The 26,553-nt window shown below is 44.2% G+C and overlaps 1 protein-coding gene across 8 annotated transcripts in view, besides 8 other annotated features; it reads left to right on the top strand.

Annotated features, from left to right (window-relative positions):
• Positions 7,347–7,396: an enhancer, noted in NCBI's record as "active region_980". NCBI's record gives its function as "activates an Ori minimal core promoter by ATAC-STARR-seq in GM12878 lymphoblastoid cells {active_cell/tissue: GM12878}" and the evidence as "EXISTENCE:reporter gene assay evidence [ECO:0000049][PMID:35858748]".
• Positions 7,807–7,866: an enhancer, noted in NCBI's record as "active region_981". NCBI's record gives its function as "activates an Ori minimal core promoter by ATAC-STARR-seq in GM12878 lymphoblastoid cells {active_cell/tissue: GM12878}" and the evidence as "EXISTENCE:reporter gene assay evidence [ECO:0000049][PMID:35858748]".
• Positions 8,157–8,216: a silencer, noted in NCBI's record as "silent region_832". NCBI's record gives its function as "represses an Ori minimal core promoter by ATAC-STARR-seq in GM12878 lymphoblastoid cells {active_cell/tissue: GM12878}" and the evidence as "EXISTENCE:reporter gene assay evidence [ECO:0000049][PMID:35858748]".
• Positions 8,317–8,626: an enhancer, noted in NCBI's record as "active region_982". NCBI's record gives its function as "activates an Ori minimal core promoter by ATAC-STARR-seq in GM12878 lymphoblastoid cells {active_cell/tissue: GM12878}" and the evidence as "EXISTENCE:reporter gene assay evidence [ECO:0000049][PMID:35858748]".
• NASP (nuclear autoantigenic sperm protein) overlaps positions 8,731–26,553 on the top strand; it is a 34,853-nt gene continuing 17,030 nt past the window's right edge. For 5 of the 8 annotated variants that reach the window (NM_002482.4, XM_047421212.1, NM_152298.4 and 2 more), the window contains exons 1-2: positions 8,731–8,895; positions 15,913–15,960. In NM_002482.4, the coding sequence (NP_002473.2) occupies positions 8,837–8,895; positions 15,913–15,960 (107 nt within the window). In that variant the 5' untranslated portion in view covers positions 8,731–8,836. Of the gene's footprint in view, positions 8,896–15,912; positions 15,961–25,074; positions 25,148–26,553 lie in introns of all 8 variants that reach the window. The other 3 variants (XM_005270888.4, XM_011541509.3, XM_005270889.4) reach the window with 1 other exon arrangement.
• Positions 9,127–9,426: a silencer, noted in NCBI's record as "silent region_833". NCBI's record gives its function as "represses an Ori minimal core promoter by ATAC-STARR-seq in GM12878 lymphoblastoid cells {active_cell/tissue: GM12878}" and the evidence as "EXISTENCE:reporter gene assay evidence [ECO:0000049][PMID:35858748]".
• Positions 13,018–13,518: an enhancer, noted in NCBI's record as "H3K4me1 hESC enhancer chr1:46054000-46054500 (GRCh37/hg19 assembly coordinates)". NCBI's record gives its function as "activates a minimal SCP1, AML or CMV promoter by ChIP-STARR-seq in primed H9 embryonic stem cells {active_cell/tissue: H9 hESC(primed)}" and the evidence as "EXISTENCE:reporter gene assay evidence [ECO:0000049][PMID:30033119]".
• Positions 13,519–14,019: an enhancer, noted in NCBI's record as "H3K4me1 hESC enhancer chr1:46054501-46055001 (GRCh37/hg19 assembly coordinates)". NCBI's record gives its function as "activates a minimal SCP1, AML or CMV promoter by ChIP-STARR-seq in primed H9 embryonic stem cells {active_cell/tissue: H9 hESC(primed)}" and the evidence as "EXISTENCE:reporter gene assay evidence [ECO:0000049][PMID:30033119]".
• Positions 15,514–15,714: a silencer, noted in NCBI's record as "peak199 fragment used in MPRA reporter construct". NCBI's record gives its function as "represses an SCP1 promoter by STARR-seq MPRAs in K562 erythroleukemia cells {active_cell/tissue: K562}" and the evidence as "EXISTENCE:reporter gene assay evidence [ECO:0000049][PMID:32103011]".

The raw sequence follows: 26,553 nt of genomic DNA on the forward strand, positions 1-26,553 counted from the left end.
GACTGAGTTGTTTGCAAAATAGACTTTAGTCTTATACTTGGCCTGATTAGTTGCATAAAGTGCAGCAAGAATAACTATTTCTACATAGGCCTTTTAGATTGGCTTTGATGCAACTCTTTTCCACAAGGACTCTTAGAGAAGACCTTTTAAAGCCGAGCCCAGCCATGGGTCTGTATCCTTAAATACCTGTGAGTTGAGTGCTCCTCTTCTCTTAAGGTCCCAAGATAAACTTGGAACTCTGGGCCAGTTAGAAAGTGACACTCTTGGCTGGGCATGGTGGCTCACACCTGTAATCCCAGCACTTTGGGAGGCCAAGGCAGGCGGATCACGAGGTCAGGAGATCCAGACCATCCTGGCTAACATGGTGAAACCCCATCTCTGCCAAAAATACAAAAAAAAAAAAAATTAGCCGGGTGTGGTGCCACATGCCTGTAGTCCCAGCTACTCAGGAGGCTGAGGCAGGAGAATAGCTTGAACCTGGGAGGCAGAGGCTGCAGTGAGCCAAGATCATGCCACTGCACGCCAGTCTGGGCGACAGAGCAAGACTCTGTCTCAAAAAAAAAAAGGAAAGTGACATTCTTTACTGACCACAGGTCAGGAACCCTGTACAGGGACTGTGTAGGCAAGGGTATGAAGCCAGTTTTCTCCCCAAGGGGATTTTTTTGGCTCTGCAACTCGAGCTTGACTGCTTAAAGGGAAGCATACCCTTGCACTCAAAGCCTTGGTAAAACAACCAGTTTCTCCAGTTGCATCCTGTTGCAAAAGAAAATGGATTCTTACTGCACTGATGCAAACAACTATATTACCACAAGTTAAAAATACTCACAGAGGCTGGGTGCAGTGGCTCATGCCTGTAATTCCAGCACTTTGGGAGGCCGAGGTGGGCAGATCACCTGAGGTCAGGAGTTCAAGATCAGCCTGGCCAACATGGTGAAACGCCATCTCTACTAAAAATACAAAAATTAGCCAGGCGTGGTGGCAGGCACCTGTAATCCCAGCTACTTGGGAGGATGAGGCAGGAGAATTGCTTGAACCCGGGAGGTGGAGGTTGCAGCGAGCTGAGATCATGCCATTGCACTCCAGCCTGTGTTGTGGGAAGTCAGGAACCCCGAATGGAGGGACCGGCTGAAGCCACGGCAGAAGAACATAAATTGTGAAGATTTCATGGACATTTATTAGTTCCCCAAATTAATACTTTTATAATTTCTTATGCCTGTCTTTACTTCAATCTCTGAACATAAATTGTGAAGATTTCATGGACACTTTTCACTTCCCCAATCAATACCCTTGTGATTTCCTATGCCTGTCTTTAATCTCTTAATTCCGTCATCTTCGTAAGCTGAGAAGGATGTATGTTGCCTCAGGACCCTGTGATGATTGCGTTAACTGCACAAATTGTTTGTAGAGCACGTGTGTTTGAACAATATGAAATCTGGGCACCTCCGAAAAAAGAACAGGATAACAGCAATGTTCAGGGAACAAGAGAGATAACCTTAAACTCTGACTGCCAGTGAGCTGGGCAGAACAGAGCCACATTTCTCTTCTTTCAAAAGCAAATGGGAGAAATATCACTGAATTCTTTTTCTCAGCAAGGAACATCCCTGAGAAAGAGAATGCGTCCCTGAGGGTAGGCCTCTGAAATGGCCACTTTGGGGGGCAGCTGTCTTTTTTGGTCGAAGCTGTAGGGATGAAATAAGCCCCAGTCTCCCGTAGCGCTCCCAGGCTTATTAGGACAAGGAAATTCCCACCTAATAAATTTTGGTCAGATCGGTTGTCTGCTCTCAAACCCTGTCTCCTGATAAGATGTTATCAATGACAATGTGTGCCAAAACTTCATTAGCAATTTTAATTTTGCCCTGGTCCTGTGGTCCTGTGATCTCGTCCTGCCTCCATTTGCCTTGTGATATTCTATTACCTTGTGAAGCACGTGATCTCTGTGACCCACACCCTATTCGTACACTCCCTCCCCTTTTGAAAATCACTAATAAAAACTTGCTGGTTTTACGGCTTGGGGGGCATCACGGAACCTGCCGACATGTGATGTCTCCCCCGAACACCCAGCTTTAAAATTTCTCTCTTTTGTACTCTTTCCCTTTATTTCTCAGACTGGCCGACACTTAGGGAAAATAGAAAAGAACTTACATGACTATCGGGGGCAGGTTCCCCCGATAAGCCTGGGGGACAAGAATGAGACTTCATCTCAAAAAACAAACAAACAAACACAAAAGCAAAAAAGAATACTCACAGATAGTTTCCAAATTCTAGAGGAACAAGGCAGAGAGAAACAAAAAACATGCTCCAGGCCGGGCGCGGTGGCTCACGCCTGTAATCCCAGCACTTTGGGAGGCCGAGGCGGGCGGATCACGAGGTCAGGAGATTGAGACCATCCCGGCTAAAACGGTGAAACCCCGTCTCTACTAAAAATACAAAAAATTAGCCGGGCGTAGTGGCGGGCGCCTGTAGTCCCAGCTACTTGGGAGGCTGAGGCAGGAGAATGGCGTGAACCCGGGAGGCGGAGCTTGCAGTGAGCCGAGATCCCGCCACTGCACTCCAGCCTGGGCGACAGAGCGAGACTTCGTCTCAAAAACAAAACAAAACAAAACAAAACAAAAAAAAAACATGCTCCAGATTTTGTTCAGAAGAGTATACCTTACTCCTCATGCCTGTAATCCCAGCACTTTGGGAGGCCGAGGCTGGCGGATCACAAGGTCAGGAGATTGAGACCATCCTGGCTAACACAGTGAAACCCCGTCTCTACTGAAAATACAAAAAAAATAGCCAGGCCTGGTGGCGGGTGCCTGTAGTCCCAGCTACTCGGGAGGCTGAGGCAGGAGAACAGTGTGAACCTGGGAGGCGGAGCTTGCAGTGAGCTGAGATTGTGCCACTGCACTCCAGCCTGGGAGACAGAGCGAGACTCCATCTCAAAAAAAAAAAAAAAAAGAGGATACCTTACTCAATTTATTAAAGGACATAAATAGCTCAAAGTAAGTTTCCTTGACTCTGAAAAACAAAATAAGGATCAGCAATATTCCAAGCAAAAGTTAAAAAGTTTGCTTCAGTTTCTTGAGTACATTCAGTTAACTCTTGTTTTACTTGATATTTGTGAACATTTTAGCTCTTCATGAGTCCTGTACGTTTTTCCTTTATTCCAATGTCACAATCTCCAAAGTTATCAGAAACCTGTATTTGAGAGCACCTGTCAAAGTTCTATAGCTTATTATAAACCTTGTTTTGAAAAGGATTAAAACGAAACAACAATTGTCTGTGAATAACAAAATGTTCAGTGTAGTTACAGTTAGAAGCACAATTGACAAAGAAGTTTGATTATCTCCGTGGTTTACAAAAACTTAACAACCTTAATTATGATTGATAGCATATACTCAGACATTAGAATTTTAGAAATTCCATACAATTTTGGAACATGTATTATTCACCAAAATGTAACCTAAAGAAGATTGAACACAGTATCAAGTACCTAAATGTTTCAAATAATCCTGTTTAGCTCTCTTTTCTGGACACTCTAGGGGCCCTTCTGAAGTATTCGAAAAGCCAGGTGTCAGGAAAGACAATTTTGAAACTGAAGTTTTATTTTGGAAAGCCTGTTAAATATGTTAGAGGTTTGAAACACTTAAAATAGAATTCCAGATTACAATAAATTATTTATTTTGCCAAAATAATGACTCAGAAACATAAAAAGAAAAAAAAAAAACCTTTTATAAGCCTTTACAAATTTTGCCAAAGAGCAGATTAGTGCCTTAAGAGTACCTTATTGTGCTTTTATTTCAATGTTCAATTTACAGAAAAATCATACAATACACTTTTGAATTTAGTCAATATGTTCACACAGATAATTTCTTTGCAAGATTAATTTTTTTTTTTTTGAGATGGAGATGGAGTCTCACTCTATCACCCAGGCTAGAGTGCAGTGGCATGATTCCAGCTCACTGCAACCTCTGTCTCACGGTTCAAGCAATTCTTGTGTCTCAGAGTCCCGAGTAGCTGGGACTACAGGTGCCTGCCACAATGCCAAGCTAATTTTTGTATTTTTAGTAGAGACCAAAAAGCAGTTTATAACCATAAAACATTTAGCCAACCTGGTATCTGACCTGCATAATTTAGTCCAACTATTTTTTTTTTTTTTAAGACAAAGTTTTGCTTTGTTGCCCAGGATGCAGTGCAGTGGCACGATCTCGACTCACTGCAACCTCTGCCTCCTGGATTCAAGCAATTCTCCTGCCTCAGCCTCCTAAGTAGCTGGGACTACAGGAGCACGCCACCATGCCCAGCTAATTTTTTGTATTTTAGTAGAGATGGGGTTTCACCCTGATGCCCAGGCTGGTCTTGAACTCCTGAGCTCAGGCAATCCGCTCACCTCAGCCTCCCAAAGTGCTGGGATTACAGGCGTGAGCCACTGCACTCGGCCCAGTCCACTTATTTATATTTTGATGACATTGGCTTTTTACCAATAATCTTTAAGGCTGTTTTCATTTCTCAAAGATTAAAGTCAGGTGAACTGAAAAGTATCACAGGTTTTATCTTTCCTTTTATTTTTTTTGAGATGGAGTTTCGCTCTTGTTATCCAGGCTTGAGTGCAATGGCACAATCTCAGCTCACCGCAACCTCCACCTCCCAGGTTCAACTGAGTCTCCTGCCTCAGCTTCCCAAGTAGCTGGGATTACAGGCATGGGCCACCAAGCCTGGCTAATTTTGTATTTTTAGTAGAGATGGGGTATGTCCATGTTGGTCAGGCTGGTCTCGAACTCCTGACTTCAGGTGATCCGCCCGCCTTGGCTTCCCAAAGTGCTGGGATTACAGGCGTGAGCCACCACACCCAGCCTATCTTCCCTTTAATAAATATTTGATCCAAGTGCTTATCTTCCTTTAGGCCAATTAATTAGAGCTATTTCTATAGACGTCACACACAACACGTATATAACTCCACGGACAGGCAGAAGAAAACCCAGCCCCCACAAGATCCTTCATTTGCCAATCTCCTATTTGGACCATTGGCCTTTGAGGACTTTTAATTCCTGGGGTTACATGAGGAAAACAGGCCGGGCATGGTGGCTTATGCCTGTAATCCTAGCACTTTGGGAGGCCAAGGTGGGTGGATCAGCTGAGGTCGGGAGTTCAAGACCAGCCTGGCCAACGTGGTGAAACCCCATCTCTACGAAAACTACAAAAATTAGCTGTGCACGGTGGTGCTCGCCTGTAATGCTAGCTACTCAGGAGGCTGAGGCAGGATAATCACTTGAACCCAGGAGGTGGAGATTGCAGTGAGCTGAGATCATGACAGCACACTCCAGCCTGGGCGACAGAGTGAGACTCTGTCTCAAAAAAAATTTAAAAAGTACATGGATTTAAAATATACTTATTTTTTAAAATTTTTATTTTTTGTTTTTTTGAGATGGAATCTCACTCTGTTGCCCAGGCTGGAGTGCAGTGGTGCAATCTCGACTCACTGCAACCTCCGCCTCCTAGGTTCAAGCGATTCTCCTGCCTTAGCCTCCTGAGTAGCTAGGATTATAGGCGCCCACCACCATGCCCGGCTAATTTTTGTACTTTTAGTAGAGACGGGGTTTCACCATGTTGGCCAGGCTGGTCTCAAACTCCTGACCTCAGGTGATCTGCCTGCCTCGGCCTCTCAAAGTGCTGGGATTACAGGCGTGAGCCACCCTGCCTGGCCTTATTTTTATTTATTTATTATTTATTTATTTTTGAGACAGAGTCTCACTCTGTCACCCAGGCTGGAGTACAGTGGTGCGATCTCAGCTCACTGCAACCTCCACCTCCTGGGTTTAAGTGATTCTCCTGCCTCAGCCTCCTGAGTAGCTGGGACTACAGGCCCCCACCACCATGTCCGGCTAATTTTTGAATTTTTAGTAGAGATGGGTTTTTACCATGTTGGCTAGGATGGTCTTGATCTCCTGACCGTGTGATGCACCCGCCTTGGCCTCCCAAAGTGTTGGGATTACAGGCGTGAGCCACTGTGCCCAGCTATTCATTTTATTTTATTTATTTATTTTTTGAGATGAAGTCTCGCTCTGTTGCCAGGCTGGAGTGCAGTTGCACGATGTCGGCTCACTGCAAACTGCCTCCCAGGTTCAAGCGATTCTCCTGCCTCAGCCTCCCGAAGTAGCTGAGATTTCAGGCGCCTGCCACCACGCCTGCCTAATTTTTGTATTTTTAGTAGAGATGGGGTTTCACCAGGGGATCCAGGCTGGTCTCAAACTCCTGACCTCAGGTGATCTGCCCGCCTCGGCCTCCCAAAGTGCTGGGATTACAGGAGTGAGCCACCGCGCCCGGCCTGCATCCAGCTATTTATTTTTTTTTGAGATGGAGACTCACCATCGCCCAGGCTGGAGTGTAGTAGTGCAATCTCAGCTCACTGCAACCTCCAACTCCTGGGTTCAAGTGGGTCTCTTGCCTCAGCCTCCCAAGTAGCTGGGATTACAGGAGCCTGCCACCACTCCCGGCTAATTTTTGTATTTTTAGTAGAGATGGTGTTTCACTATGTTCGCTAAGCTGGTCTCGAACTCCTGACTTCAAGTGATCCGCCTGCCTCAGCCTCCCAAAGTGCTGGGATAACAGGCACCTGCTACCACGCCCAGCCTAAAATATATTTTAAAATATATTTCTCTGAGTTCCTCAAGGTAGAGTCCATGTCTTTTGTCCCCAGAACCTAGTACAAAGTCTTGTACCTCAAAGTTGCTCAGTGAATATTAATTTAATGGATGAATCGGTCACACCAGTAATTGCAGAGGTTTTCTCAGGCCCTAGCCCTGGCTGCAAGGACTTTGGAGAGATCTCCCCTCCCAACACCCTCCATTTACCACATCATCAGACTGTGGTAGCCATTCAATGAGTGCTTAGCGTGAATTCTACACAGTGCTAATTACCTGTAATTCTCACAATGTCCTTAAGCGGTGGCTACTAATATGTCTTCATTTTACACTTAACCTTAATCCCAGCTACTCGATTACAATCCGGGTTACGTGACCTGGCTCACGTCACCTAGCTAATAATGGAAGAGCCCATGTATGTTTGCCATAGGAATTGGCATTTTCACGTCCAGCTCTCTAGCCCCAAAGATTTCAACCTCTTCGAGCCTTGACAGATTGGAATAAGAATCCTCTCCAGGAATCTTTCCCAATATGCTGGAACCTAAAGGGAAATAAAAACCCCTACTCCGATCAGCGTAGACTGGGCCATGGTGAAAAGGAATGGATGATACTCCAGGTGTGAGGAATTGCAGCTTTTTAGCCTGCCAGTTATTTTTCACTCAGCCATTTGCAGGAAATGAGGCACACTGCTTTCCATAACTGATTTGTCTTGCAACTTTCTGAACAAGTCACAGCTTCCCCTTTTTTTTTTTTTTGAGACGGAGTCTCGCTCTGTTGCCCAGGCTGCAGTGCAGTGGCGAGATCTCGGCTCACTGCAACCTTTGCCTCCCGGGTTCAAGTGATTCTCCTGCCTTAGCCTCCCGAGTAGCTGGGATTACAGGAGCCTGCCACCACACCTGGCTAATTTTCGTATTTTTAGTAGAGACGGGGTTTCACCATGTTGGCCAGGTTGGAACCTTGGCCTATTTATTTATTTATTTTTGAGACGGAGTTTCGCTCTGTTGCCCAGGCTGGAGTGCAGTGGCGAGCTCTCGGCTCACTGCAACCTCTGCCTTCCGGGTTCTAGTATTCTCCTACCTCAGCCTCCCGAGTAGCTGGGATTACAGGCGCCCGCCACCACGCCCGGCTAATTTTTGTATTTTTTAGTAGAGACGGGGGGGTCTCACCATCTTGGCCAGGCTGGTCTTGAACTCCTGACCTCGTGATCCACCAGCCTAGGCCTCCCAAAGTGCTGGGATTACAGGCGTGAGCCACCGCGTCCGGCCCCTTGGTTTATTTTTCTAAGAAACAGACTAACACTGATCTCACTAGTAGCATTGTTAATATTAAACAAGATAGCTAATAGCTTTAAAGCGTCTAATCACGGTACCCCCACGAGTAGTAGTCACACAGCAAATCATAGGCAGGAGTGGACAAACAGCGCTGGGAGCATTAATTCTGGTAGATTTGGAGTCTGGGCAGGGCCTAAGAGGATGGGATCAGCGGATTGGGCCAGCCAAAGGGGGCGGGTTCAGAGGGAGGAGCCAGCTGCCTCCCGCTGCAAGCCCCGAGCTTTGAATCAAGCGCGGTAGTTTCAGCTGTAGCCAATCCTAGAACAAAATCTTTTTGCGTCAGTTGTTGCTGAGGCCTAGATCTCACCCAGATCAGTTCTAGTCGCTGCTGCTTGTACCCGTCCTCGGCCCTTGCGTGTCCGTCCGTTACGACTCAGAGGACGGAGAGAAAGTCTAAGTCACCTTCCTCAGTATCCAGGCCGGAAGGAGACTCTCAGCTACTCGCCCTGAACATGCAGAGCAGCACTGGCTTCCCTGTCTCTGGATGCCGCAGGGGCGTCCTGTCAGGAGTTGTAGTGTCAAGATTCCAGTTCTTCTTATGCGACTTGCTGGAGAAGCAGGAAGTTGCTGTTTATTGGAGAAGTCGGGCTAGGGAGGGAAACAATCCCGCGGAGCCATATGGAGAGGGCAGGAGGTGTCTAGATAGTGGTAGGCCGGCGGGGGACGGAGGGTATGGGTGGTGAGTCCTGGCCCTTTAAACCCGAGGGGGAGGATCCGGAAGTGGATGGGCGGGGCGAAGGGTCCTCGTATATAAAAGGGCCCCGGCCGCGCGGGGTCTCTAATCTGCCATTTTCTGTCCCTGAGTGAGTCTCTGGCGTCCCAAATTGCCTGTTTTTCTCGCAGGCTCTATTCCGTTCGCTGGTTCGCCACCTCAGGGGAACGATGGCCATGGAGTCCACAGCCACTGCCGCCGTCGCCGCGGAGCTGGTTTCTGCCGACAAGTAAGCGGGACTGTGGAAAGCTTAAGGCACTGGCCAGTCCGCGGGGAGGGCTAATGGACGGGGGCTCCGGAGAAGGGGCAGACCGGTGGGCGGGAGTACTTGCCTTCCCAAGAGCAGCTGTCGCTGTTCGGGAAGGCCTGGTCACTGGAGCAGTCCTTCTTTTGCTGAGAGCCTCGCGCAGCAGCGGTAACGGCGGTCGGCTGGCGCCCCCTGCCCCGCTTTTCGCGGCCGCCATCTTGCCGGGGGCAGCGGCGGCTGTATCCTTCGCCTGCCCCTCTCCTTCCTCCCCCAGCCCGGGGCGGTTGGCCGGGAGGCGGGGCCCTGGCGCGCGGGTTGGCCTTCACGCCCCTTCTGTCCCCAGCGTGTGCCTCTGGTAGAACCCCTGGATAACCCGGGAATATAACCAACGAAGATTTGGCGCCAAAAGGGAAAAAAAACCTTGCACGAGGAAGGAGGCTGGACCTGAGGGGTCGGGGTGGGCGGGGCCTTGCTGAGGGCGGGGTTTTGCGCGCGTGCGTTCGCTTCCCTCGCCGGCCCTGGGGCAGGGGGCGGGGCCTTGAGGAGGCGGGAAAACTCCATTGTTTGGGGCCGCTGCGGCTCCAGCAGGAGCTTTGGACTATCTCCGTGGGGCCGGCGAGGCTAGTTCCCCCCGACACCTCGCTCACGTCTTGTGCTGGGAGATAGTTATCGCTCCCCGCGACTCCGTGAGCCCCTGCCTGTGGTGGGGAGGATTGTCGTTCTTTAGACTTTGGAGGTGGTGTCTGTTTGGGGGGAACATTACCGGACGTAAAGCGTCTTCAGGAAGCGCTGTCTGGAGCTCTCACCAGCACTGTTTGGTTGCTAGGTGAATCGGCAGTAGTATGCACGAAGTGGAGAAGGACTGGAGGGAAACAAGATAGGATTGTTTTGAAAGCGGCACAGTGCCACTCAGGCGTAATCTGTTTTTTGAACAGTGGAGGGAAACACTACACGAGTTCAAGGAAACAAGTGCTGTTTCCCATACAGTAGGTCTGATTTCCCAATCTTGCCATATTTTTTTAGGCATCTGGTTCTATTTTTTTTTCTAATCTTGTGCGCTTTAGAGGTTAGTTGCCTTCCCTGTAAAAGGAATGGTTGCTGTGAAGTTTTTTAAATTGATATTCTATAGGCTTACACTCTGTCATGATTATGTCTTTGTTTGTTTATAGTTAGAGATTTACGTATATCTCTGCTTACCACCTTTTCTCTCTGCGTTCTTGTAGAGCAGTGGTTCTCAAGTCACCCTGAGAATCATTTGGGAACTCATGGGAAATACAATTTTAATTTCAAACTCCCATTACCTGCCTCTTTCCCCATTGATTCGATATAAGCAGTATAGATTGGGCTTGGGAGTCGTGCTATAGCTATTATAAAAAGAGCTGCTTTTTATAATGTTTCCTAGACAGCTCTAGCAGTCAGTATTTCACTGACAGCTGTGTGTTTTTGTTTTGTTTTTGCAGACAGGGTCTGGATCTCACATCCAGACTGGAGTGTAGTGTTGTGATCATAGCTCACTGCAACCTCGAACTCCTGGGCACAACTGATCTTCCCTAGTAGCTTGGGACTACAGGTGTGCCACTACACCTGGCCAATTTTTTGTAGATACAAGGTCTTAATGTTGCCCAGGTTGGTCTCAGACTCTTGGACTCAAGCAGTCCTCCCGCCTTGGCCTCCCAAAGTGTTGAGGTTACAGGCGTGAGGCACGGCGCAGGGCCAGGTGTTTTTGTTTTTGTTTTTTGAGGTAGAAGTATGCAACAAATACCTCTTGCAGGTCCCCTGTGTCTAGCCAGAGTTAGGTCATTAGTGAATTTAGTTTCCTGGCAGGTTATACATAGAGAAAGTTTATGTATATGTGGCTAGAAGAAAGCAAACCATTTAGTTCCTCACAGCATAAATTGAAAGCTAAAACTGAGCAATTATATGTGCTGGGTGTGTGGGGGTGGGGGGGCAGGGTCTCTGTCACCCAGGTTGGAGTGCAGTGATGCCATCTCGGCCCCCTGCAGCCCCTACCGTGCCGTGTGTGTGTGTGTGTGTGTGTGTGTGTGTGTGTGTGTGTGTGTGGTGTGTGTGTGTGTGTGTGTGTGTGGTGTGTGTGTGTGTCACCCAGGCTGGAGTGCAGTGATGCCATCTCGGCCCACAGCAGCCCCTACCTCCTGGCCTCAAGTGATTGTCCGGCCTCAGCCTCCCGAGTAGCTGGGACTGCAGGCGCACACCACAAGGCCCAGCTGATTCTAGTATTTATTTTGTAAAGACGAGTTTTTGCCATGTTGCCCAGGCTGGTCTCCCAACGCCTAGGCTCAAGGGATCCACCCACGTGGGCCTCTCAAAGTGCTGAGATTACCGGCGTGAGCCACCAAGCCTGGCTAGTATTTTCATTTTCATTTTCATTCTTCGTTTCCCCATCTAATTAGTGTGAGAGAACATGAAAGCAGTGTGTCTCAGTTAAGTAAGTTAGTGGGGACACTTAGAGGTAAAGTTTATAAGGTCCTCATGTTTAAGGGTAGGATAAAGAAAATGACTTGAATTTAGACTTTAGGTAAGAATGTACATTATAATTCGAGGATGACCATTGAAAGAATAAATATAACTTCCAAACCAGTAGAAAGAAAAAAAATGGAATGAGAAATAAACCTCAGTTCAGGTTTTTTAAATTTAGGAGATGAGGATCTTACTATGTTGCCCAGGCTGGATTCCCAACTCCTAGTCTCAAGCAATCCTTCCATCTCAGCCTTCTGGGTAGCTGGGACTACAGGCATGCATCACCTCGCCTGGCTTAGAATTGGCTTTGATAGCAGCTTCATTGCTTCAGTAGTGATATTGGACCACAGTTTTGTCGTCTGCAAAAAGTCTTAGGTTGGCTTTTGTCCCCTCGTGCCATTAAAGCAGTATTGTTTAAGGTGATGTATATCTACATGCTAAATTAATCCTGTCATTCTTAGCTTTCTAACTAGTTCTTAGTTGGTTTTTTTTTGTTGTTTTTTTTTTGAGAGGGAGTTTTGTCACCCAGGCTGGAGTGCAGTGGCACAATCTCTGCTCACTGCAACCTCCGCCCTCCCGGATTCAAGCAAGTCTCTTGCCTCAGCCTCCCAAGTAGCTGGGACTGCAGGTGTGTACCACCACACCTGGCTAATTTTTTGGGGTTTTGCCATGTTGGCCAGGGTGATCTCGAACTCCTGACCTCAGGTGATCAGCCGGTCTCGGCGTGAGCCACCGTGCCCGGCTGCAGTTATGATTTAATACTGCATCTTTGTTCATTTACATATCTCAACTGTGGATGGTGCCGTGTATGGTCTGTGTGTTTTGATGAATTTTAACTTTTTATAATTTGTATTTTATGGTAGTGAAGAAGACTAGTACCTACATATCTTTTATGCATTGATTACATACATTTTGTTAATTCAACATTTCTAGGCTATGAGGTTTGTCTTGAGTTTTTTCATATATATATATATATATATATATATAATTAATTTTTTGGAGAGAGAGTCTTGTTGTCTTGCCCAAGCTGGAGTGTAGTGGCCAGATCTTGGCTTACTGCAACTTCTGCCTCCCCTGTGCAAGCGATTCTTGTGCATCAGCCTCCCAAGTAGCTGAGACTACAGTTTACAAAAATTAGCCGAGCATGGGTAGCAGGGTCCTGTAATCGCTTGAAACCGGGAGGCAGAGGTTGCAGTGAGTCGAGATTGTGCCACTGCACTCTAGCCTCAGAGCAAGACTCCATCTCAAAAAAAAAAGGGCCAGGTGGTGTGGCTCACGTGGTAATCCCAACACTGTGGGAAGCCAACACGGGCATATCACTTGAAGCCAGGAGTTCGAGACCAGCCTGGCTGACATGGCAAAACCCCGTCTCTACTAAAAATACAAAAATCAGCCAGGCGTGGTTGCGCATGACTGTAGTCATTCAGAGTCTAACTCCGTTGCTCAGGCTGGAGTGCACTGGTGCGATCTAGGCTCACCGCAGTCTCCACCTCCAGGGTTCAAGCAATTCTCCTGCCTCAGCCTCCCAAGTAGTTGGGATTACAGGCGCCCGCCACCACACCTGGCTAATTTTTGTATTTTTAGTAGAAATGAGGTTTTACCATGTTGGCCAGGCTGGTCTCGAACTCCTGACCTCAGGTGATCCACTCACCTTGCCTTTCCAAAGTTCTGGGATTATAGGCGTTAGCCACCGTGCCCAGGCTACACTTCTTTTTTTAAAATTAATTTTTTGAACTAGAGAAGGGGTCTCATTTTGCTGCTTAGCCTGGTCTCAAACTCCTAGCCTCAAACAGTCCTTCTGCCTTCCAAAGTGCAGGGATTATAGCTGTGAGCCTAGCCTTGAATTTCTGTTAGCAATGTATGGGAGTACAATTTCTCCTTAACCCTATCTTTGACTATTCGATGGGTAAAACATACTTTCTAAGTATAGTTTTTTTGTTTCTCTTAAGAATGAGCGGCCGGGCGCGGTGGCTCACACCTGTAATCCAGCACTTTGGGAGGCCGAGGTGGGCAGATCACGAGGTCAGGAGATCGAGACCATCCTGGCTAACACGGTGAAACCCCATCTCTACTAAAAATACAAAAAAAAAATGTAGTCCCAGCTACTTGAGAAGCTGACGCAGGAGAATGGCGTGAACCCGGGAGGCGGAGCTTGCAGTGAGCCGAGATCGAGATCGCGCCACTGCACTCCAGCCTGGGCAACAGTGCGAGACTCCGTCTCAAAAACAAAAGAATGAGCAGTAGCAGGTGGTCAAGTGTTTGTTTGTTTGTTTGTTTGTTTGTGAGTGTTTATATTAAATCCATTAATCTATTCCCATTGGGCTTTTTTATCCTGTTGACTAAGATTCTATGTATATTTGCTAAGTTAACCTTTTGTGAAATGAATTAGATGGAGTAGAATCTGTCAATATCCTATGGTTTCTGGTTTGTTTGTTTATTTATTTGAAACAAGGTCTTACTCTCTCACCCAGGCTAGAGTATAGTGGTATGATCATAGCTCACTGCAGCCTCTATCTCCTGGGCTCAAGCAATCTTCCCATATCAGTCTCTGGAGTAGCTGGGACTACAGGCATGTACCACCATGCCCATCTCATTTTATTTTTGGTAGAGATAGGTCTCGCTGTGTTGCCCAGGTTGGTTTTTGAACCCCTGAGCTCAAGCAGTCCACCTACCTAGGCCTCACAAAGTGTTGGGATTACAGGAGAGAGCCACTGCACCCAGTCTGGTTTCTGGGTTTAAAACGGCCTTCTCCAAACAAATTACCAAGTAATTTCCCTATCATTTCCTCTAGTACTTCTCTGGATTCATGCTCATTCTAAAAATTCATAATGAACGTCATAAAACTATGAAGCCATAGCTTCATAGTTGTAAATGTAGTGACTATTAGAATTAACATTTTAAAAAATAACTGGATCAGGCTGGGCGCAGTGGCTCACACCTGTAATCTCAGCACTTTGGGAGGCCCAGGCGGGAGGATCACTTGAGGTCAGGAGCTCGAGACCAGACTGGCTAACATGGTGAAACCCCATCTCTGGTAAAAAACAGAAAAATTAGCCAGGCGTGGTGGTGGGCGCCTGTAATCCCAGCTACTTGGGAGGCTGAGGCAGGAGAATGGCTTGAACCCAGAAGGCAGAGGTTGCAGGGAGCTGAGATGATACCACTGCACTCCAGCCTGGGCAACAGAGAAGGACTGTCTCAAAAACAAAACAAAACTGAATCAGACATACCTATTGCCCAGATAGGACATGAACATCCATTTATAATTTTTATTCTGATCCAGTAGTCCTCAGAGCATGGTTCTAGAAACCAGCAGTGTGTCACCTGGGCAGTTGTTAGAAATGCAGATTCTTCAACCTTACCTCAAACCTTCTGACTCAGAAACTGTAGGGGGTGGAGCTCAAACTGTTATAACCGTTCCTCCAAATGGTTTGCATACAGACTAAAATTTGAGAAACACTGCTTTAATTCATCTTTTTTTCCAACTATACAAGTACTGCCTTAGTTCACCCTCTTTTCTATTTGTCTAGGCTTGTGCTAAGCAAGAATAGAAATAAATTTATCGGCCGGGCGCGGTGGCTCACGCCTGTATTCCCAGCACTTTGGGAGGCCGAGGCAGGTGGATCACGAGGTCAGGAGACGAGACCATCCTGGCTAACACGGTGAAACCCTGTCTCTACTAAAAATACAAAAAAATTAGCCGGGCATGGTGGCCGGTGCACAGGCACCGGCCTGGCACCAGGCCCAGGCTGAGGCAGGAGAATGGCGTGAACCCGGGAGGCGGAGCTTGCAGTGAGCCGGAGATCGTGCCAGGGCACTCCAGCCTGGGCGACAGAGCAAGACTCTGTCTCAAAAAAAAAAAAAAAAAAGAAAAGAAATTTATCACTGATAAATGCTTTACAATGATACTTAATAGTGTTTTTACTGGTTCCTTGCTTTTAATGGTATTCAATTCAGAGTCTTATATTGCAGTCATAGTGTAACTTTTTTTTTTTTTTTTTTTTTGAGACGGAGTCTCGCTGTGATATCTCCCTGACATTGTATTTAAAAAAACCTGTGTGTTATAGAAGGTTATATAGGGAAATAAAAGACCTAGTCCCTTAACCACAGGTAGTTTGAGAGGCTCTGTGCTAGACCATTTGGTCAGAATGACCTCTTAATAAAACTATTCGATATACATGACTGGCTGTGACGGAGTTTGTAGATAAGGATCCAAGACCATTTCAAGATTCTAGGCAAATGGCCCAGATAGCTTACAACCTGTAGCTGAAAGCACTGCCCTTTAAGTTGTTCCTCATCCCTGTGGTTATAGCTGTGAAGTTGCCACTTATTTTCAGCCCTGGATATTTGAGTGAGTAAGAATTAAATGAATTAAATTTGATAATGTAAGTAAGTAAATAATACTTGAGTATTTAATAAATGACAGCTCTTTTATTCCTTTATATTTTTCTGAATTTATTTTATTTTCAGGCTTAATAATTGCCTCCAGTTTTACATTTTTTCCCCTTTAATTTTTTATTACAGAATTGAAGATGTTCCTGCTCCTTCTACATCTGCAGATAAAGTGGAGAGGTAAGATTATTTACATGGTAGTTAGATTCGTATCAGAAACATAAACTAAGAGCAATATAACTTTAAAGTTATTTTTATTTTTTAATTAATTTATTTTTGATAGAGGCAAGGTGTCGCTTTGTTGCTCAGGCCGAAGTGCAGTGTGCAATCAGGGCTCACTACAACCTTGAACTCCTGGGCTCAAGCAATCTTCCCACTTCAACCTCCTGAGTAGCTAGGACTATAGGCACATGCCACTACACTTCGCTCATTTTTAAATTTTTTGGAGAGATGGGGTCTTGCTATGTTGCCAAGGCTGGTCTCAAACTCCTAGCCTCAAGCATTCCTCCCTGCCTAAGCCTTTCAAAGTGTAGGATTATAGGTGTGAACTACCAGGCCCGTCTCACCTCCTCCCCCTGTAACGTTTCCATCTTGATATGGCTATGGTTTTTTGTTTTTCTTTATCTCAGATCTACACCCGTAGTGACTATGTTTCTTAATCAGAGGTGGGCATAATAATTAACTAAAAAGCTTACCCAAAAGGTAGATGGTAGGTTACATCCCTAGAGATTTCTTGTTTCATTTTTTAGAGACAGGGTCTTGCTCTGTTGCCCAAGCTGGAGTTCAGTGATGTTATCATAGCTCACCACCACCTCGAACTCCCGGGCTAAAGGGATTCTTCTGCCTCAGCCTCCTGAGTAGCTGGGACTGTAGGCATGCACCACCACATCTGGCTAATTATTTTATTTATTTTTTAGACTGAGTTTCACTCTTGTCGCCCAGGCTGGAGTGCAGTGGCGCAATCTTGGCTCACTGCAACATCTGCCTCCTGGGTTCAAGCAATTCTGCCTCAGTCTCACAAGTAGCTGGGATTACAGGCGGGTGCCACTACACCCAGCTAATTTTTCTATTTTTAGTAGAGATGGGGTTTCACCATGTTGGCCAGGTTGGTCTTGAACTCCCGACCTCAGGTGATCTGCCCGCCTTGGCCTCCCAAAGTGTTGGGATTACAGGCGTGAGCCACTGTGCCCACCCGAATTATATTTTTCGAAGCGGAGTCTTGCTTTGTTGGCCAGGGTGGTCTCCAACCTGGGCTCAAGCAATCCCCCTGCCTTGGCTTCCCTAAGTGTTGGGATTACCAGCCTGATCTACCATGCCCAGCTGATTTTATTTGTTGAGCTTGAGATAAAATTTGGGTTCATGTGTTATGGAAAAGCTTTCTGATAAGATTGAGAATTATTACTGTTAGAATATCTTACAAATATTTTGTTTGTTTGTTTTTTGAGATGGAGTCTCACTCTGTCACCCAGGCTGGAGTGCAATGGCATGATCTTGGCTCACTGCAACCTCTGCCTCCCGGGTTCAAGCGATTCTCCTGCCTCAGCCTCCCAAGTAGTTGGGATTACAGGCACCCACCACCATGCCCGGCTAATTTTTGTATTTTTAGTAGAGACAGGGTTTCGCCATGTTGGTCAGGCTGGTCTCGAACTCCTGACCTCGGGCGATCTGCCCGTCTTGGCCTCCCAGAGTGCTGGGATTACAGGCGTGAGCCACCACACCCGGCCACAAATACATTTTTTAAGCGTCCATAGGGTTTTATGTTTTTCATGTTTGAAATCCTGTTGTCATCTTGGTTATTTAACCCTTTTCCCATTTGCCCTGAGAATACTTGCTGGTGGTGCTTGGGGCTGCTGCATTTACCCAGTGAAAACTGCCATGAAATAGCTCTCCTTTATTATTATTTTCACATCACTCTAATATATAGATTTTGGATAAAAAGACATCATTCTGTTTATAGCACTCTGTTTTTAGTAATGGTTATTTCCATTTACAAAATAGGGTAATTCTCGATTGCTGTAAATGTCAAATCCTAGAAAACGTAGCATTCCTATGTATGATGTTAACATCATTCTCAAATGGTTGTTGGCCAAAGATTCATTTGATGAATCCAATTTTTATGAAATAGGCGATTCTGATATTAGTTGTGTTTAGAAATAACTCCGGCCAGGCAGGTGGCTCATGTCTGTAATCCCAGCACTTTGGGAGACTGAAGTGGGCTGATCACTTGAGGTCAGGAGTTCAAGACCAGCCTGGCCAACATGGTGAAACCCTCTCTCTACTAAAAATACAAAAATTAGTTGAGCGTGGTGGCGGGCGCCTATAATCCCAGCTACTCGGGAGGCTGAGGCAAGAGAATCACTTGAACCTGGGAGGTGGAGGTTGCATTGAGCCAAGATTGTGCCACTGCACTCCAGCCTGGGTGACAGAGTGAGACTGTCCCCCCCCAAAAAAAAAAAAAAAAAAAACTCCGAGAACAGTTTTATATTTTTATTTTCATGCTGAAAGTCAGATTTGCTTCAGCTTCAAAGAACATGTTTATGTAAAATTAAATGAGTGCTGGCAATGAGCTGTACTTTTTTTTTTTTCTCTTAAACGGGAAAAGGGTTAAAATAAGTCTTATGAAATACTGCTTGGCTGGGTGTGGTAGCTTACACCAGTAATCCCAACACTTTGGGAGGCCAAGCAAGACCTCCATCTCTGAGAGGATCACATGACCCCAGGAGTTCGAGACCAGCCTGGGCAACATAGCAAGACGCCATCTGTACAAAAAAAAAAAATTTTTTTTTTAATTAACTGTTCGTTGTGGCACTTGCGTGTGGTCCCAGATACTGGGGAGGCTGAGGTAGGAGGATTGCGGAAGCCCAGGAAGTCGAGGTGGTGGTGAGCTATGATCCTGCCACTGCACTCTAGTCTGGGTGACAGAGTGAGACCCTGTCTCCAAAAAAAAAAGGAAAGAAACAAAATAGGGCTAGGCGCGGTGGCTCACGCACTTTGGGAGGCTGAGGTGGGTGAATCACCTGAGGTCAGGAGTTCAAGATCAGCCTGGCCAACATGGTGAAACCCCGTCTCTACTAAAAAAGATACAAAAATTAGCCGGTCGTGGTGGCTAGCGCCTGTAATTCCAGCTACTTGGGAGGCTGAGGCAGAAGAATCACTTGAACCCGGGAGGTGGAAGTTGCAGTCAGCCAAGATCACGCTACTGCACTCCATCCTGGGTGACGAGCGAAACTCTCAAAAAAAAAAAACAAACAACAACAAAATTTCTTGTGAGTTAATCTGGTATTTGGGTGGTATGAATACTGAATACTGTTTAGGGTTGATCCTAAACACAATACTTTCAAGGGGGTTACTCATAGGATGTACCATAGTATTTAAGTTTCTGGACTGACTAAATGTAGCTAGGCTATCCAAAACACAGTGCTTGATATGTAATCATCAGTATTAAACTTCACTGCCCAGGTTGGAGTACAGTGGAGCGATCGTGGCTCACTGCAGCCTTGACCTTCCCTGGGCTCAGGTGATCCTCCTGCCTTAGACTCCTGGGTAGCTAGGATCACAGATGTGTGCCACTATGCCTGGCTAATTTTTGTATTTTGTTTTTAGAGATGAGGTTTCGTCACGTTGCCCAGGCTGGGGCTCAAGCCATCTTCTCACCTCAGCCACCTGAAGTGCTGGGATTACAGGTGTGAGCCACTATGCTTGGCATAAGCATTTGATTTTTAGAGGACCAGAATATTCTGATTCTGAGAGAAACATGAAGGATGGTTGGAAAACACATTATTAGTCTCACCTTAAATTTATAACCTCTGACCTGAAGTGGGTTTTTAGTTTTGATTGGCAGTTATACCGCATTTCTCCGGTCAAGTTGTTTTCCCATTCTGCGGAACTGCTTAATCTTTCCTTCTTTTTTTTCCCCCCTTGAGTCAGGGTATTGCTCAGCCACTCAGGCTGGAGTACAGTGGGTCCTGATCCTGGCTTGGTGCAGCCTCAAACTCCTGGACCAAGAGATACTCCTGCCTCAGCCTGCCAGACTAAGTTTTGTGTGTGTGTGTGTGTGTGTGTGTGTGTGTGTGTGTGTGTGTGTGTGTGTGTGTGTGTTTTAGAGACAGGGTCTTATTATGTTGCTCAGGCAGGTCTTGAACTTCTGCCCTCCCTATGATGCTCCCTCCTTAGCCTCCTGAGTTGTTGGAATTACAGGCATGAGCCACTGCACCCAGCTGATCAACTTTTTCTTTATATATTCTTAAACATTCAACACCATACCCGTCATCTTGCTTTTACCTGATGATTTTCCTTTGTTTTATATTTGGTTCTGGATTTTTGTTTGTTCACTGAATAAACAATATGAAGAGAAATTTCTTAACACTGTGCCATAAATCTGTGCCCATATAGTCTCTCCTTTTGAATGCCTGTTCATGCTCTTATTCAGCAGTTCTCAAAGTTTTTTTCTTGTATACCTTTGGGGTCTCCAGTACTCTTTCAGGGATAATGTAAGATCAAAACTGTTATTGTAATAACAAGACTGCCTTTTTGACCACTGGCAGTGATTGTGCAAAAGTAATGGTGGATAAACCTGCTGTTACCTTAACATAAATCAAGGCAGTGGCAACAAATAGTACTAGCAATTCTTGTGTTCTTCACTATCACCTTCACTTAGAAAATGTCCATGATGAAGCGTTACAAACTGAAGTTTATTAATTCTCAGTCCTTGACTACATGGTTTTAAGGTAACCTGGCAAAATAGGAATTATGGATGGAGCGCTTCAGCATATCAAAAGTGGCTACCATGGTTTTCTTTATGAAAAGCCCTTGTGTGATTAAGAGTTGATTGAGCTACTTTTTTCATGTAACTTTACTGGCTTTTATTCGAAAGAATGTTTTATTTGAAAGTTTTATTTTTGAAAGAATGACCAACAGACAAACTTTTATTTAGACTTGATACTTAGCAGATGTTTTCTCCAAAATGAATACAGTGAGCCTGTCACTTTAAGGGAAATAACTGACAGTATTGGGTGCTAGTGATAGAATGTGAGCTTTCACATGAAAAATAAAAATTTTGGATAAGTTATATATCAACTGCTGTTGTGAGACTGACAGTATCCTAATACTTTGACTGTTCTGATGAAATTGATTTTTAAGTTGTGGTAAAACACATATAATATAAAATTTTCCATCTTTTTAAGCGTGTAAGTCAGTAGTGTTAAGTAAATTCACATTGTCGTATACCCAATCTTATCTTGCAAATCTGAAACTATTACCCAGTAAACAACTCCCTCTTTCTGTCTTCCCTAGCCCCTGGCAACCACCATTCTGCTTTCTGTCTCTGAATTTGGCTACTTTAGGTACCTCGTATAAATGGAATAATAGAATATTTACCTTTTTGTGACTGGCTTATTTCACTTAGCATAGTGTTCTTAACGTTCATCCATGTTGTGGTGTGTCAGAATTTCCTTGCTTTTTATTGTGAGTACTGCTGCTGTGACGTTGGGTTTATGTAATCGTTCATAAGTAGAAGATCTAGAATACAAGATAGACTGGTTTTTAATGTACCAGTATGAGAAGTTCATCAGTGTTTTCAGATTATACAGTACAACTAACCTTTAAGAAATTACCACTTGTTGGTCAAGTGCTGTGGCTCACGCCTGCATCCCAGTACTTTGGGAGGCTGAGGCGAGAGAATCAGGAGTTCGAGACCAGTTTGGCAAACATGGTAAAACCCTGTCTCTAGTAAAAATACAAAAATTAGCGGGGCATGGTGGCATGTCCCTGTAATCCCTGCTACTCAAAGTGGCTGAGGCAGGAGAATCGCTTGAACCTGGGAGGCAGAGGTTGCAGTGAGCTGAGATCGCACTACTGCACTCCAGCCTGGGCAATAGAGTGAGACGCTGTCTCAAAAAAAAGAAAAAAAAGAAAAGAAAAAAGAAATTACCACTTGTTGGCTGGGCATGGTGGCTCACGCATGTAATCCCAGCACTTTGGGAGGCCAAGGCAGCGGATCACTTGAGGTCAGGAGTTTGAGACCAGCCTGGCCAACATGGTGAAACCGTCTCTACTAAAAATACAAAAATTAGCTGGGTGTGGTGGTGCCCGCTTTTAATCCCAGCTACTGGGGAGGCTGAGGCACAAGAATGGTTTCAACCCAGGAGGTGGAGGTTGCAGTGAGCTGAGATCGTGCCACTGCACTCTAGCCTGGGCGACAGAGCAAGACTTTTTTTTTTTTTTTTTTTTTTTTAAGACAAATGACCACTTGTTGGGTTTGGGTGTGGTAACAGAAGAATATCCAGTTATCTGAAAGGACTGTTTAAATATTCTGTTTCCAACTACATATCTGTATCAAGTCAGATATTCCTGTACTTTAATGAAAAGAAAACACGGTAGAGTAGTGAATATGAAAATCCTGTTCTCTTCTACTAACAGACATTTAGGAGATTTGTAAAAATGTAAAACAGTGCCACTATTCTTACCAAATTTTTGTTTTGAAGAGTTATTTTTCAAAGAAAGTCATGTTATTAACATGTAACATTTTAAACTATTTAAAATTATTTTAGTTTTAATTTCAGTATGGCAAATACTGACAGATATAACTTGGATACACAGAGGCTTTTTGGGGGGCTTCAGTAACGTAACAGTGTAAAGGATCCTGACATCATAGTTTCTTTGCTCTTACATAACACCAGCATCTCCGTTTGTTCACAAGATCCCACTCATTATTTACTTAATAATAGAACTCCTTTAGTTCTTTATGCAACAATACTCTTCTTGTTTCCTATGAGATTACTTATATCAGCCCACTAGGTATCATCAGATTTAACCGTTTGTTGACCCCCTCATACTTCCCTTCGTCTATTACCTCACATCAGTTTCTTTGACAGGAAAATGTGAAAGGTGTCCACTCTGTTTATCTGCTACTACTTTTGTTCTTAATTGAAGCTGCTTCAATCAAGTTTTTCTCTACCATTCTACTAAAATAGTCTTGTTTATGGTCTTTAGTACCATCCATATTCCTTACTCTAGTAGTCATTTCTCAGCTCTCTGAGTTAATCTTGTCAGTAACATTTGACCCAATCCATTACTCCTGTTACTTTTTTTTTTTTTTTTGAGATGGAGTCTTGCTCTGTCACCCAGGCTTGAATGCAATGGCACGATCTTGGCTCACTGCAGCCTCCTTCTCCCAGGTTTAAGCAATTCTCCTGCCTCAGCCTCCCAAATAGCTGGGATTACAGGTGTGCACCACCATGCCCGGCTAATTTTGTATTTTTAGTAGAGACGGGGTTTCGCCATGTTGGCCAGTCACTGTGCCTGGACCCATTAGTTTTCTTCATACTATTTTCTTGTCTCTTTTCCTTCACTGGCTATTCCCCTCAACCCCCATTCTTCCTTGTCGTCCCTACCTCTAAATGTTGGAAGGCTCCCAGGGCTCAGTCAGTCCTACAACGTCTTTATTAGTAGCCACTCCCTGTGTATTCTCCTCTGTTAAGTCCAGTGGCTTTAAGTACCTGACTCTCCCATTTGTATCTCCAGTCCCCATATCTCTCCCAAATTTCTCCCTTTTAATATCTTGGAGGTCTAATAGGGATCTCAGAATTAACATATCCAAAGCTAAATACTGTACAGTAATTGATTGCCTTGTTTCTCACTGGCTTTTCCTTCAGTTGACTTTTTAATCAGTCAGTGGCAATGTTGTTCTAGAACTTTTCATCTAGATTGTGTAGATTTGAATCGCTGCCATTAATATTCAGTTTTCCATCTGTAAAGTGGGGGTAATAATTCAATAACTTTATGAGGTGTAGATCCTAGGATTTAAATGTAGATAAAATTTCTACATAGTCCATTATTAACACTTAATACCAGTTGCCCCGGCCAAAAAAACATTTGCTTCACCTCTTTCATTCAATAAATTATATATCTAGTCCATTAGCAAATTTTAAAATAAGTATATTCAGAATCTAACCCTCTCTAATACTCCTCAGGTTCCTGTCTAGATTTTTACGGTTTCTTTCCTTTTTTTTTAAATAGAGAAAGAGTGTTTTTGTTTGTTTGTTTGTTTGTTTGTTTGGACATAGGGTCTTGCTCTGTTGCCCACGCTGGAGTGCAGCAGTGTGATCCTAGTTCACTGCAGCCTTGAATTCCTGGGCTCAAACAGTCTTCCTGCCTTAGCCTTGCGAGTAACGGGGACTACAGGTGCATACCGTGATGTCAGCTAATTTTTGTATTTTCCTATAGAGATGCTAGTCTCTAACTCCTGGGCTCAAGTGATCCTCCCACCTTCGCCTCCCAAAGTGCTGGGACTACAGGCATGAGCCACCATGCTCAGCCTTAGACTTTTTCTTTTCTTCTCTTTTCTTTTCTTTTTTTGAGATGGAGTCTCGCCCTGTCACCCAGGCTGGAGTGCAGTGGCACAATCTCGGCTCACTGCAACCTCTGCCTCCCTGGTTCAAGCAATTCTTCTGCCTCAGTCTCCCGAGTAGCTGGGACTACAGGCACACACCACCACGCCCGGCTAACTTTTGTATTTTCAGAAGAGAGGGGGGTTTCACCATCTTGGCCAGGCTGGTTTCGAACTCCTGACCTTGTGATCTGCCCGCCTCAGCCTCCCAAAGTGCTGGGATTACAGGCATGAGCCACTGCTGCCCGGCCAGACTTTCTTTCCAACTGGTTTTCTCCCCAGTTCTGTTCTTGTTCTATCTTAAAGTCTATACTAATGTGATGCTGCTCTCTCCCTCTTCCTCACCTTTATTTCCCATAATTCTTCCCCAGCTTACTCTAGCCAGAAGAGTTTTCTGTTTCTCAAATATTTTAAGCAAGCTTCTTTTAGAGCTTTGAACTTACTATTGCCTCTGTCCTAGAGTGCTTTTCCTCTGTATTTTTTTTTTTTTTTTTTTTTTGGCTTGCCTTCTTAAGTTCTCTGCTTCAATTTGACATTGTCCCTGTGGTCTTAGCTCATTCTTGTTATAATCACAGTGTCTGGAATTGTGCCCAGCAATATCAGGTACCCAAGTATTGTTGATTGAATTAAGAAGAGGGATTATCCTTCCAAATAATTTGGTTTTCATTAATGGAACTTAAAATGTCACTGACTCTTGCTCTTTTGACCCAGGTTTTTCTTAAAGCTATAAGAAACATTAAATGAAAGTCTAAGTGACATACAGGAAACTGCACATAACTTTAAAGTAACAATTATGAGTTTCTACATATGTATACACCTGTAAACCATTATCACAATCAAGATAATGAGTATTTTCATCACCTCAAAGTTTTTTCCTCATGTGCCTTTGTACTTCATTCCCTCCCCAGCAACCATTAATCTGCTTTCTGTCACTGAAGATGGGTTGCATTTTGTAGAATATTATCTAAATAGAATCATACAGTAAGTACTGTTTCTTTTTGTATAGTTTCTTTGATTCAGCATAATTATTTTGAGATTCATCCATGTTACCACCTGTATTAATAGTTCATTCTTTTTGTTAGTGAATGACATTTTATGATGTAGATATATCACAATTTGTTTATCCATTTGGGTTTCCAGTTTTTGGCTTACAAATAAAGCTGCTGTGAATATTTGTGTACAAGTCTTTGTATGGGCATTCATTTCCATTTTTTGGGTTCACACCTAGGAGTAGAATGGCTAGATCATATGGTAGGTATATATCTAACTTTAAGAAACGTCCAAACTGTTTTCTAAAGTGATTCTACCATTACATTCTTACCAGCAGTGTTTGACAGTTCTAGTTGCCCTACATCCTCACCATCATTTGATATGTGGTCAGTCTTTTAAAATTTTAGCTATTATAGTGAATATAGCAGTATCTTATTGTGGGTTTAGTTTGTATTTTTTTGAGTGAGCAATAATGTTGGCATCTTTTCATGTGCTTATTTGCCATCTGTGTATCTTTGATGACATGTTTGTTAAAATCTTTCGCCCCCTTTTTATTGGATTGTTTTTTATTACTACGTTCTAAGAGTTCTTTATATATTCAAGTCCTTTATCAGAAGTTTTGCATATATTTTCTCCCAGTTGGGCCTGCCTTTTTTGTTTTTATAACAGTGTCTTTCAAAACCAAGTTTTTCATTTTAGTGGTGTGTCTAGTTTATTGATTTTTTTTCCTCTTGTTAATAGTTTGTGCTTTTTCTTTCATATTCAAGAAGTCTTTGCCAAAGCCAAAGTCACTAAGATTTTATCCTGTATTTTCTTGTAGAAACTTTATGGTTTAAATCTTATATTTAGAAAGCCTATGATCCATTGCAGATTAATTTTTGTATGAGATATGAGATAACAGTTGAGGTTCACTTTATTGCATGTGGATTTATAATTACTCCAGCACCATTTGTTAGATTATCCATTCCTCATTGCATTGCCTTGGTACCTTTTTCAAAATTTCAGTCAGTCATATATGCATGGATCTGTTTTTGTACTCTGTGTTCTATTTGATCCATTTGGTTTTCTTTATGCCAATACTACATTGTCTTAATCTTGAAATCACTGCCTCTTGCCCTGTTTACCTAAATGCTTCTTAATTTTAATATTTCTTTTAGCTAGTGCAATTTGTATGAATTTATGGTTCTTTTATGATACCTTTTTTATTTGTGGATCAATTAGGAAATATTTATAGTAATATACAATACAGGCTTTGTGATTAGATGAGCCGTTAAGAGAATTTTTTTTTTTTTTTTTTTTTTTTTTTTGAGGTGGAGTCTCGCTTTGTTGACCAGGCTGGAGTGCAGTGGCGCATCTCAGCTCACTGCAAGCTCCGCCTCCTGGGTTCATGCCATTCT

This window comes from Homo sapiens, chromosome 1, assembly GCF_000001405.40.
Source record: "Homo sapiens chromosome 1, GRCh38.p14 Primary Assembly".
Lineage (NCBI taxonomy): Eukaryota > Metazoa > Chordata > Mammalia > Primates > Hominidae > Homo > Homo sapiens.